General features: G+C 59.0%; 1 protein-coding gene across 2 annotated transcripts, besides 4 other annotated features; it reads left to right on the forward strand.

Annotated features, from left to right (window-relative positions):
• The first annotated feature begins 1,803 nt into the window (after positions 1 to 1,803).
• Positions 1,804 to 7,497, forward strand: UTS2R (urotensin 2 receptor). 2 transcript variants are annotated; one of them, NM_018949.3, is made up of 3 exons: positions 1,804 to 2,086; positions 2,637 to 2,822; positions 4,282 to 7,497. In NM_018949.3, the coding sequence occupies exon 3, from the start codon at positions 4,364 to 4,366 to the stop codon at positions 5,531 to 5,533; it is 1,170 nt and encodes a 389-aa protein (NP_061822.1). In that variant the 5' UTR covers positions 1,804 to 2,086; positions 2,637 to 2,822; positions 4,282 to 4,363; the 3' UTR covers positions 5,534 to 7,497. The 2 variants fall into 2 exon arrangements, with proteins under 2 accessions (NP_061822.1, NP_001368826.1); NM_001381897.1 differs by lacking the exon at positions 2,637 to 2,822.
• Positions 6,690 to 7,559: an enhancer, noted in NCBI's record as "NANOG-H3K27ac-H3K4me1 hESC enhancer chr17:80334527-80335396 (GRCh37/hg19 assembly coordinates)". NCBI's record gives its function as "activates a minimal SCP1, AML or CMV promoter by ChIP-STARR-seq in naive H9 embryonic stem cells {active_cell/tissue: H9 hESC(naive)}" and the evidence as "EXISTENCE:reporter gene assay evidence [ECO:0000049][PMID:30033119]".
• Positions 7,112 to 7,406: a silencer, noted in NCBI's record as "tiled region #5835; K562 Repressive DNase matched - State 23:Low". NCBI's record gives its function as "represses a minimal TATA promoter and a strong SV40 promoter by Sharpr-MPRA in K562 cells {active_cell/tissue: K562}" and the evidence as "EXISTENCE:reporter gene assay evidence [ECO:0000049][PMID:27701403]".
• Positions 9,542 to 10,043: an enhancer, noted in NCBI's record as "H3K4me1 hESC enhancer chr17:80337379-80337880 (GRCh37/hg19 assembly coordinates)". NCBI's record gives its function as "activates a minimal SCP1, AML or CMV promoter by ChIP-STARR-seq in naive H9 embryonic stem cells {active_cell/tissue: H9 hESC(naive)}" and the evidence as "EXISTENCE:reporter gene assay evidence [ECO:0000049][PMID:30033119]".
• Positions 10,044 to 10,543: an enhancer, noted in NCBI's record as "H3K4me1 hESC enhancer chr17:80337881-80338380 (GRCh37/hg19 assembly coordinates)". NCBI's record gives its function as "activates a minimal SCP1, AML or CMV promoter by ChIP-STARR-seq in naive H9 embryonic stem cells {active_cell/tissue: H9 hESC(naive)}" and the evidence as "EXISTENCE:reporter gene assay evidence [ECO:0000049][PMID:30033119]".

Here is a 12,262-nt window from a genome sequence, read left to right on the forward strand (position 1 = left end):
CCGTTGGCACTGGTAGTTCGGGGGAGCTGGCAAGCTCAGGCGAGTGGCCTCAGTGGTAAAACCAGCACTGGAGGCCAGGCACGGTGGCTCACGCCTGTAATCCTAGCACTTTGGGAGGCTGAGGTGGGCAGATCACCTGAGCTCAGGAGTTCGAGACCTACCCGGCCAACATGATGAAACCCCGTCTACTACAAACACAAAAATTAGCTGGGTGTGGTGGCGGGTGCCTGTAATCCCAGCTACTTGGGAGGCTGAGGCAGGAGAATTGCTTGAGCCTGGGAGGTGGAGGTTGCAGTGAGCCGAGGTTGCAGTGAGCCGAGATCGCACCACTGCACTCCAGCCCGGGTGAAAGAGTGAGACCCCATCTCAAAAAAATAAATAAATAAATAATAAAAAAATAAAATAAAAAATAAAAAACCCGGTGTTCGTGTCAGGGCAGGTCGTTTCAGCAGCTACTCGGTGAACTGGCTGAGGTGACAGCAGATCGTTTCGGCAGCTGGCTTGCGGGAAATTTAATTCTTGGAGCAGGCATTCTGGGTCCTGAGTGCTTTTCCCCAGCCCTAGCCCCTAGACTCCAGCTTAGTAATCAGCTCTCACAGAACCATCACGTCGGAGGCAGCCTTCCACCCCCTTTCCTCCCGCGCACAGGCAGGATGAGCTGCTCCCCTTTCGGGTCGGAAGCTGCAGCTGTATTTGGTTTCAGTTCGGCTGTTTTCAGCTCACAGAGAATGAACTGTCTTATTGTGTGACCCTTGCTCCGTCCAGCGGACGCTCGGAGACCAGAGGGACTTTTCCCGCCCTCTCCAGCCCAGCCTCGCCTCCCCAGCACGTGGCAAACGTCCCACGGAGGGGACTGGTGGGCATCTGGGGCTCCCCCGGATCCAGCTGATTGCAGGAGCCTCTCGGCCATTCACACTTGGCCACCTCCTCTCCCCCAGCAGAACCCCTTCAGCTTTAGGGGCCGGTCCGCGGCCTCAGGCAGCAGATGAGCCCCGGGCGGAGTGGAGTGGGCGAGGCCAGCTCCTCGCTGGGGGCCCTTTAGACCCCGTGTTCACAGCTCTCCAGCTCTCCTCTAGTCTAATTTATTAATGTTCTGTGTCTTTTTCTTTCAGGGGTTCAGCATGAGTGAAGGCCCACATCCTACCTCCGAGCAGCAAGTGAAACCGAGTGGGGGCCAGCACCCAGCTCAGGGGCTCGAGGGTGAGGCTGTGGGGTCCTTCCTCCTACCCCGCGGGGCCCTGCAGCTCCCAGCGTCACTTCCGTGGATGTGGCCACCACGAGTCCCTGCCGAGGCCTGGAGAGGCTGCGTGGGCTTCTAAGAGCATCTGTGGGAGACCCGCAACAGGGGCGGGGTCAAGGCCCCCAAAGAGCCCGTCCCCGCCTGGGCGGGTGACTCCCTCCCTCCCTTACCTCCTTTCTATGACCCTCTCGGGGTTTAGGGGTGTTCCTGCCCCCCACCTGCGCGCGGGCGGGTCCAGGGCTTGGTGGACACGGAGAATCCCAGGCTCCGTGCCCTGCAAACACGGGCGTGAGGGGCGCAGGGGTGAACGCTGGAGGCGGAGAACCCAAGAGGGGCTGCGGGGTCAGCCTTGGGGCAGCCGGGCTGGAGGCAGCTTCGCTCCGCAGACGCAGACGCGAGACCCGCCTGGGACCCTCCGCCGACCCCGCTGCGGCCCCGCGACCCCCGCGTCTTCCCGGCGCCGCGCGGTCAGCGCCGCCCCCTAGACACCCGGCGCCGTCCCCTCCGCGCGCCTGCTGCCCGCTGGGGTTATTTTAATACCGGGCCCTGGCGCGGGGCGCGGCGCATTCCCAGCTGGCGGCGGGCAGGTGGCGGCGGCGCAGAGACCCGGCGCGGGGCGGGGGGCGCGGCTTTGGTGGCGGGACTGGCGGGCGCCCCTGCCGTGTGCTCTGGAAGCCGAGGCCACCGCGGAGCCCCTCGCGCCCCCTCTGCGCTGGGACAGGGGAGCGCGCCTCGGAAAGTTCCCCGCGGCCCCGCTGCGCGAGGAGTTTGGAGCCGCGAGCGGCTGCCCCCACGCGCGACCCCAGGCTCGGCGGGCAGGTCTGGCCGCTCAGTGACCGGAGGCAGGTGGGTCCTCGGTGGGTGACCGGGAGCGCGCGGGGACTGCCGGGTCTGTGCCCTTCGGGGCCCTCCGCAGGGCTGGGCCGGGGTTTCGCGGTGGGAACCCACCCTGGGCGAGGGGAGCGGGGTCCAGCGAGGCGGCTTCTCCCGTGCCGTGGAACTTTCGGCCCCTCCCCTTCCCCCCTAGCGACCCTGGAGCAATCCTAGCGGCCCGGCGGCCGCTGTCCCCCTGCCCGTGACTCGGGCTCGCGCACAACTGGGGAGCCCGGTGCACCCTCGGCTTCTGCGCCGTCCCCTGGGTGAGGGCTCTGGAAATGCCCTGGGTGGGGGCAGCAAGGGGGTGAGGGTCCCCTGGACAGATGGAGCTGGGAGCTGCTCGGCCTGGTGGGAAAGGGCGGACAGGGCACATTTCCAGGCCCTGGAAGGCCCCCAGCGCCCCCACCTGTTGACAACTCCCCACCCCAGCCAAGACTGCTCCCTGCGCAGCCATGAGTGTTCGGCCTAAATTCAGCGTGGCTCGTGGAATCAGGCAGCCTCCTGTGTCTTGTTTCTTCAGCCCACCACCGCGCTGTTTCATCCAGGCTGCTGACCCCAGCGGCGACTCCTTCACTGGCTTCATGTCACAGTTTGCCTGCCCCGTCCACTGGGGACATTTGAGCTGTTTCCAGCTTCTTAGGAGTCAAGCTGCCGTGAACTTTCGCACGCTTGTCATTTTCTGAACGTTGGCAGCCCTTTATCTAAGGTACTAACCTGAGAGTAGAATTGCCGGGTGAGAAGGTATAGGCGGTCAACTCTGCAAATCGTGCCAATGGCTTTCCAAAGCGGCGGCACAGTCCAGGTTCCCAGCAACAGGAAACGGCAGGGCCAGCTCCTCCACAGCCCCCACGCCTGTTGACAAGGATATCTGCCTTTTCACGCGTTCATCCTTGTCAGCACGCAGGGGCTCCTGTGGCCCTGACTGGCATTTCCCTGCTTGTTGGCTGCGTGGGTGTCCTTTTCAGGAAGTCCCCGGTCACGGTTTTGGTCTCTTTTTTTCAAATGGGTTGTTTGTCTTTTCCTTACTAATTTGCAGTTCTTCCCTATATTTTTCTTACCAGCTTTTTGTCTATGTTTCTTCTTTTTTTTTTTCTCTGAGACAAAGTCTCACTTTGTTGCCCAGGCTGGAGTGCGGTGGCACAATCTCAATCTTGGCTCACTGCAACTTCCACCTCCCGAGTTCAAACAATTCTCCTGCCTCAGCCTCCCGAGCAGCTGGGATTACAGGCGTGTGCCACCATGCCCGACTAATTTTTGTATTTTTAGTAGAGACGGGGTTTCGAGATGTTGGCCAGGCCGGTTTCGAACTCCTGACCTCAGGTGATCCACTTGCCTAGGCCTCCTAAAGTGCTGGGATTACAGGCGTGAGCCACTGCAACTGGCCTGATATATGTTTTCTGATGATCTCCTAGCCTGTGGCTTATGATTTCGCTCTCTTGGTAAAGTTCTTAATTTTAATGAAACCCATTTGCTTAGTCTTTTATTGAAAGTATTTTTTGTTCATTTTTAAGAAATATTTTCCCATCCAAGGTTATGCCAGTATTCCCGTTTTCTTCCAGAACCTCGACTGACTGATTTAACCTTTCACACTTAGGCCTGCAATCCATCTTGAATTCGTTTCCCTGTATGAGAAATGGAGATTGCAGAGGCCTTCCTCTCCTTACATGTTCTTCTATTTGGACTTTTAAAGTCAGTAGCTACTAGTTTTGCAATCTAAAGAAAACATTTTTTTAAATGTACAAGTCAAATAAATACGAGAAAGGACTCAGGAGTAAGTGGGCCCCACCTGTGCACAGACAAGAAAGTGAGGCCTGGGGGGGCGCAATGGGCAGAGCCCAGGACTCCCAGTTCTGTCCACTGCCGACCTCTGCCCCAGGGGCTGCCCTCCTGTGTTCCGGCTTTCAGAAAAGCCCAGTTCATCCCAGAGGCCATGGGACCTACAGTGAGGGGGGGGCAGGGGTCCTGCTGGGGCATGCGGGGGTCGGGGAGGGGGGTTGGGGCAGCTCGTCTGGTGGCTCTTGAGTCCTCCTGCAGAGCTGGTGGCTTCCAGAGAGTCCCGAGAGTTGGAGGGCACTGGGGAGCCCACGTGACTCTGTGGGAACGAGGCCATCACAGTGGCCTCCTGGGAGCGGAAGGTGTTGCCTGATTTGCTTCTTTCCCCACAGGCTGAGCTGGTTGCCCACAGGGGCCCCCGCCCCATCTCAGGGAGTGTCCACCCAGCCCTGAGCCCGTCGTGAGGGGTCAGAGATGGCGCTGACCCCCGAGTCCCCGAGCAGCTTCCCTGGGCTGGCCGCCACTGGCAGCTCTGTGCCGGAGCCGCCTGGCGGCCCCAACGCAACCCTCAACAGCTCCTGGGCCAGCCCGACCGAGCCCAGCTCCCTGGAGGACCTGGTGGCCACGGGCACCATTGGGACTCTGCTGTCGGCCATGGGCGTGGTGGGCGTGGTGGGCAACGCCTACACGCTGGTGGTCACCTGCCGCTCCCTGCGTGCGGTGGCCTCCATGTACGTCTACGTGGTCAACCTGGCGCTGGCCGACCTGCTGTACCTGCTCAGCATCCCCTTCATCGTGGCCACCTACGTCACCAAGGAGTGGCACTTCGGGGACGTGGGCTGCCGCGTGCTCTTCGGCCTGGACTTCCTGACCATGCACGCCAGCATCTTCACGCTGACCGTCATGAGCAGCGAGCGCTACGCTGCGGTGCTGCGGCCGCTGGACACCGTGCAGCGCCCCAAGGGCTACCGCAAGCTGCTGGCGCTGGGCACCTGGCTGCTGGCGCTGCTGCTGACGCTGCCCGTGATGCTGGCCATGCGGCTGGTGCGCCGGGGTCCCAAGAGCCTGTGCCTGCCCGCCTGGGGCCCGCGCGCCCACCGCGCCTACCTGACGCTGCTCTTCGCCACCAGCATCGCGGGGCCCGGGCTGCTCATCGGGCTGCTCTACGCGCGCCTGGCCCGCGCCTACCGCCGCTCGCAGCGCGCCTCCTTCAAGCGGGCCCGGCGGCCGGGGGCGCGCGCGCTGCGCCTGGTGCTGGGCATCGTGCTGCTCTTCTGGGCCTGCTTCCTGCCCTTCTGGCTGTGGCAGCTGCTCGCCCAGTACCACCAGGCCCCGCTGGCGCCGCGGACGGCGCGCATCGTCAACTACCTGACCACCTGCCTCACCTACGGCAACAGCTGCGCCAACCCCTTCCTCTACACGCTGCTCACCAGGAACTACCGCGACCACCTGCGCGGCCGCGTGCGGGGCCCGGGCAGCGGGGGAGGCCGGGGGCCCGTTCCCTCCCTGCAGCCCCGCGCCCGCTTCCAGCGCTGTTCGGGCCGCTCCCTGTCTTCCTGCAGCCCACAGCCCACTGACAGCCTCGTGCTGGCCCCAGCGGCCCCGGCCCGACCTGCGCCCGAGGGTCCCAGGGCCCCGGCGTGAGCACGCGGAGGGGCGGCTGGAGTCCAGGCGGGGACGCGCCCCAAAGCCCCAGCCACTCCCGGGAGCCCCCCCAACTCCCAAATCACAGGCCCTGCCCCTCCTCCGTCCCCTTCTGGAAAGATCCTGCTCGCTTCCCCTCAGCGCCCTTCCCGTGATGCCCAGAAGCGCCCACCCGCCTCCCTGAGGGTCTCCAGGAGGCTCCAGCGCAGTCCCGGCTTCTGGAGACCATGGCTTCGTCACAGAGGGCAGCAGGCGCCAGTGCCCGGCCCGTGTGGAGACCATGGCGCGGCTGCCGCCCCCGGGACCCTCCTCCTCTCAGCCAGCGGCCCTGTGACTCCTGTTCCTGCCTGTGTGGCTCCATCCCTTGTGGCTTTGCCACTGGAACAATCAACCCTGAGCTGGCTTCCGTGTCCTGCCTAGGCGCGGGGGACGCCACATCTGAGGTGTGGGAGGATCGGCCGGCAGGATCCCCAGGACGACAACGGCAGCTCAAGGGGGAGCCTGTGGGTCTGGCTGGGGTAGAGGGTGCACCTGCCTTTGAGGCCTGTGCAGGCGGCTGGTCTGGCACCTGATGTGGGGCAGGGAAGGTGGCCAGGAGGGGAGGCTCCAGCTGAGGGGTGGAGCAGGGAAGGCACTGCCCAGCAGAGGCCTGAGGCTTTGGGTGCAGAACGCAAGAGGACAAGGTCAGTGGCCGCACCTACAGGCCTCCTGGCCTCTCATCCACGTCTGGCTCAGGTCTGATCAGAAAGGGAATCCAGGTCCCACCTCACAGTAGCATTGGCAGTCTCTGCCCCACTCACCCCTCACTGCCTCCTGGACAGACTTCCTGCCCCAGCTCCCAGCTTGGCCAACCATCCTCTCTCTGGCGACTGCCCCCCTCCAGCCCCCAGCCCGGCCCCGGACCCTGCATGGCCTCCCCCAGCCTGGCCTCCCCTCCCCACCCCATGGCCATGCCCAGACTACCAGCCCCTTGGGGCTCCATCTGAACACTGGGGCAAGGGTCATGCCCGCTTGGTCCCTCCAGTGCCTACCCCTCAGTGGAGTGAGCACAGCTCTGCTGGCAGGACTGTGGCCGGCGTCAGGAATAAGCATGCAGCGCTCTCCCCAGGGCCTCCCGGAAGAGGGGCAATGCTTGCAGCTCCCCCCTGGAGTTACGAAAGTGCTCTGGAACTAGACGCTGGTGACTGGGCGATGCTGTGAACGAGCCAGTGCCACAGAACTGTGCACCTGAATGTGTGAGTTCTGTCGTGTTTTACTTTAAAAACAAAAGGATCCCACTCCCCGACCTTGTCCCTCTGTTAAAATTGAAAGAGACTGATGTCAGCCGCCCCGTCTGGGAGGGAGGTGGGGGGGTCAGCCCCCCGCCCGGCCAGCCACCCCGTCCGGGAGGTGAGGGGCGCCTCTGCCCGGCCACCCCTACTGGGAAGTGAGGAGCCCCTCTGCCCGGCCACCACCCCGTCTGGGAGGTGTGCCCAGCAGCTCATTGAGAACGGGCCATGATGACAATGGCGGTTTTGTGGAATAGAAAGGCAGGAAAGGTGGGGAAAAGATTGAGAAATCGGATGGTTGCCGTGTCTGTGTAGAAAGAAGTAGACATGGGAGACTTTTCATTTTGTTCTGTACTAAGAAAAATTCTTCTGCCTTGGGATCCTGTTGATCTATGACCTTACCCCCAACCCTGTGCTCTCTGAAACATGTGCTGTGTCCACTCAGGGTTGAATGGATTAAGGGCGGTGCAAGATGTGCTTTGTTAAACAGATGCTTGAAGGCAGCACGCTCGTTAGGAGTCATCACCACTCCCTAATCTCAAGTACCCAGGGACACAAACACTGCGGAAGGCCGCAGGGTCCTCTGCCTAGGAAAACCAGAGACCTTTGTTCACTTGTTTATCTGCTGACCTTCCCTCCACTATTGTCCTATGACCCTGCCAAATCCCCCTCTGCGAGAAACACCCAAGAATGATCAATAAAAAAAAAAAAAAAGAGAGACTGATGTACATCCCACTCCTGAATACATGTAAAATGTATACAAAAATATCTTCTATGAAAATGGTTTGTAATCTGTAGATTGTAATCCGGGATTTGTAATCTGTAGATTGTAATCTTGGAGATGTCTTAGATGTAAAATCCCATCTTCGGGTTGGGGGTTTTTTGCTTTCTCCAAATAAATCTGATCTTTAAAATTCAAAAAAAAAAAAAAAAAGAAAGAAAGAAAAGAAGGCCAGGCACGATGGCTCATATGCCTATAATCCCAGCACTTTGGGAGGCTGAGGCGGGTGTATCACAAGTTCAGGAGTTCAAGACCAGCCTGTCCAAGATGGTGAAACCCCATCTCTACTAAAAATACAACAAAATTAGCCAGGCGCAGTGGCAGGTGCCTGCAATCCCAGCTACTCAGGAGGCTGAAGCAGGAGAATCGCTTGAACCTGGGCAGCAGAGGTTGCAATGAGCTGAGATTGTGCCATTGCATTCCAGCCTGGGCGACAGAGTGAGACCCTGTCTTAAAAAAAAAAAAAGAAAGAAAGAAAGAAAAGAAAAAAATAAACAGCGATTTGCTGGTAAAATCACCCGGGGAGCAGGCAGCTCCGCGGAGGGTGGGACAGGGCTGATGACGCCCCTTCCAGAGGCTCCCAGGAGCCACCCGAGCCATGCGTCCTCGCAGGGGTGCACCTGCCTTTGAGGCCTGTGCTGGCGGCTGGTCTCTTGAGGCATCCTTGCAGCTTCTCTGATGCAGAAGGAGAGCTTTGGGGGTTGGAGGTGCTTTCTCTTTCTCAACCGAAGCCTGATTCCTAAAGCTGCTGTCTTTGTAGAGAAGCAAAATCAAAATTAAACATCTGACAGCCAGAGCTGGTCCCTGGCTTGGTGGTTCCAGCTGGCACTGTCCTCGCCTGACACGCAGACTCTCGGCGGCAGCCCAGACGGCGGGGCACAGGACGTGGGGAGACTCCACGCTTGACCTCTTGCCCACCGCCTTCCGGTCTGCTCGCGCCAACATGGCTTCTGCGCTGAGCACCTGCATGTGGCACGGGGCCCAGGGTGGTGACCGGCAGTGACTGCCTCACAGCAGCTGCTCACTGCTCCTGGCCCCCCGCTTTTCCAGCAGACCCCCCACTTCTGTGGAAGGCCCCCCACGTCTCCAGAGCCACGAAGCTCCAAAAGAGGGAATTTCTGGAGCAACATGGTCCCATCCATGACCCCCCGCCTCCAAGTCAGAACACAGCTGAAGACTCGAGTCCCAGGAGGGGCCCTGCAGCCCCACGACCCAGAGAAGACCACCCCAGAGCCACCCTCCACCCAACTCAGCGGGCGACCTGCTGTCCCCAAGGGGCGGGGAGTGGGTCCCCTCCTCCCACCTGGGTTTGGAGAGGGCGGGTAGCCCCCATGATGTGAGGCACAGTTGCTGGAGGTGACCATGCAGGCATCTACAACCACGTGTGTCCTCCACGGATGTCAGCACGGGGCCGATGAGGACAGAATTCCCTGGAAAGGCAGAGCTTCAGGGCAGGGCTGGGTAACGTGAAGAAAAGGGTGGCACGGGCACGCGTGTGCATGTGAGTGTGGGCTGCGGGAAACCCCTGGACAAAGGAGAAAGCAAAACAAGGGGTGAATGACTCAGGGACAGGAGAGAAATTAAATAAAACCTAAGTAACAGGGGACAACTGGGTGCAGTGGCTCACGCCTGTAATCCCAGCACTTTGGGAGGCCGAGGCGGGCGGATCACGAGGTCAGGAGATCGAGACCATCCTGGCTAACATGGTGAAACCCCGTCTCTACTAAAAATACAAAAAATTAGCCGGGCGTGGTGGCGGGCACCTGTAGTCCCAGCTACTCTGGAGGCTGAGGCAGGAGAAAGGTGTGAACCCGGAAGGTGGGGCTTGCAGTGAGCCGAGATTGCGCCACTGCATTCCAGCCTGGGCGACAGAGCGAGACTCCATCTCAAAAAAAAAAAAAAAAAAAAAAAAAAAAAAAAAAAAAAAAAATCTAAGTAACGGACTCTGAGAAACCGGAGCAGGCAGAGGCTGGGAAAGGAAACCTGGAGACCTGGGCACTAAAACAAAGCACTCGCTGAAAGGCTGGCAGATTGATCCGCAGTTCCTCCGGGAGGAGCACCTGGTTCCGGGAGGGAGTCCCCCAGCCCTGATCCCCTCTCTCCTTTCCAATGCCTCTTATTAAAGAACCGTGAAGATGCAGAGGTGGGCACACACAGCACAGTGCACCCCAGATCACAAGCGGGACGTTCTCTTCGGTGCCCGCTTCCCCTGCCTGGGTGTGGATGGGGCAGCAGTGGGCGCCACTGTGCAACCCCCAGCCCCAGCCCCGGCCCCGTCCTCATCAACACATCATCCAGTCACCATGCGCCGTGCCTGCGCATCCCCCCGCCCGCTGGCGACCCCGCAGCGCACCTGCCTTCCACCCAGGGGGCCTCCATAAGCAATTACGTCAGTGACAAGTAGCTCTGTAAGCTGCAGCACCGGCCCCCTGCCTCCCAGAACACACATGGTCCCACACAATACTGCAGACTCACACCCGCTCACACTCACACCACTGGACTCACGCCCACTCACACACCACTGCAGACACACCCACTCACACACCACTACAGACTCACACCCACTCACACACCACTGCAGACTCACACCCACACCCACAGCTGGGCCCTGCCCTGCCAAGCCTCCATTGTTGCAGGGTCCCCGGAGCCCGTCAGGCCTGGCGGCTGCTCTGTATCTCTCTCTCTGCATTCTCTCTTCTGCACATTTCCTAAGCACCAAAGGGCTCTGCCAAGAACCCTCTGGCAGGGGGTGCAGCCCAGGCAGCGTTCTGTCCCGGGGAAAGGGCACTGAGGACAGCACCCTCAAATCCAGATGGAATTTTATATGTAAATGCCGGGTATAAAGTAATAATGAGTGAAGAGGAAGTAGCAGTGAATGTATTCTAAAATGAGAAGCAGGGGCCGGGCGCGGTGGCGCACCCTTGTAATCCCAACACTTTGGGAGGCTGAGGTGGGTGAATCACTTGAGGTCAGGAGTTTGAGACCAGCCTGGCCAACATGGTGAAACCCTGTCTCTACCAAAACACAAAATACAAAAATTAGCTGGGCATGGTGGCGCACGCCTGTAATCCCAACACTTTGGGAGGCTGAGGCGGGCAGATCACCTGAGGTCAGGACTTTGAGACCAGCCTGGCCAACATGGTGAAACCCTGTCTCTACTAAAAATACGAAAAAAATTAGCCGGGCGTGGTGGCGTGTGCCTGTAATCCCAGCTACTCGGGAGGAGGAGGGAAGAGAATCGCTTGAACCTGGGAGGCAGAGGTTGCAGTGAGCCAAGATCACGCCATTGCATTGCACTCCAGCCTGGGCGACAGAGCAAGACTCCGTCTCCAAAAAAAAAAGCAGCAGAAAGGTTATTGAAAGATTATTGAAAGTATGACCTAGACACGGTGAGAAATGTGATTTCAGGAGTCAGAATTCCGATGCAGAAAGGACAACTCAACACCAAATGCAGAAACCGCGCAGGATGGAGCCCCTGGCTCTGCTGTGACTCTCTCTCCAGCCATTTCACTTAGAAACCGCGCAGGACGGAGAACCTGGCTCTGCTGTAACTCTCTCTCCAGCCATTTCACTTCTAGGATTTTATCTGAAATTTTAAAATCAGGCGTGGATCAAGACATATGCACAAAGGTGCTCGCTTCAGCATCACTTTAAAAACCACAGGCACCGCGGAATTTTCCACAGTTGGTAAATAGATTATGACGTGAGCAGTGGAGGATTTTGTGTATCTTCAGAGAATAGCAAAGCTCCGTTCCAAAGTGTCCTTAATGATCCAAGGCATGACGGCCAATGAGGAAAGCTGGAAAGTGAAACCGAGTGACTTAATCCAGGTTTCGTTTGAAACAAATAAGAATGTGTGTGGATGTGTGGTGAGAGTGTGGCATTTGGAGTGTGGCTTGTGAGACTGTGACCCTGTGTCATGTGCACACATGGCTGTGTAGGTGTGTGGTGTGTGAGACTGCGACCCTGTGTCGTGCACACGTGGCTGTGTAGGAGTGTGGCATGTGTGTGACTGGGACCCTGTGTCATGTGTACACGTGGCTGTGTAGGAGTGTGGCATGTGTGTGACTGGGACCCTGTGTCATGTGTACACGTGGCTGTGTAGGAGTGTGGTGTGTGTGTGACTGGGACCCTGTGTCATGTGCACACGTGGCTGTGTAGGAGTGTGGCGTGTGTGTGACTGGGACCCTGTGTCATGTGCACATGTGGCTGTGTAGGAGTGTGGTGTGTGAGACTGCGACCCTGTGTCATGTGCACACATGGCTGTGTAGGCGTGTGTGGGTGCATGTGTGTGCATGTATGCATCAAGACTTCACAGGGACACTTTAAAATAGCAACAGTGGGCCGGGCACGGTAGCTCACGCCTGTAATCTCAGCACGTTGGGAGGCCAAGGCGGGTGGATCACGAGGTCAGGAGTTCGAGACCAGCCTAGCCAACATGGTGAAACCCCATCTCTACTAAAAATACAAAAATTAGCCAGGTGCGGTGGCAGACACCTGTAACCCCAGCTACTCAGGAGTCTGAGGCAGGAGAATCACTTGAACCCGGGAGGCAGAGATTGCAGTGAGCTGAGATCAGACCACTGCACTCCAGCCTGGGCAACAGGGTGAGACTCCATCTCAAAAAAAAAAAAAAAAAAAAAGCAACAGTGTTAGCCCTTGGTGGGAAATTTTAGGTAG

The sequence above is a fragment of the Homo sapiens genome, chromosome 17 (genome assembly GCF_000001405.40).
Source record: "Homo sapiens chromosome 17, GRCh38.p14 Primary Assembly".
Lineage (NCBI taxonomy): Eukaryota > Metazoa > Chordata > Mammalia > Primates > Hominidae > Homo > Homo sapiens.

Bases quoted from the DNA above. Each gene is read 5' to 3' on its own strand.
- UTS2R (NM_018949.3), top strand. From the start codon at position 4,364: ATGGCGCTGACCCCCGAGTCCCCGAGCAGCTTCCCTGGGCTGGCCGCC.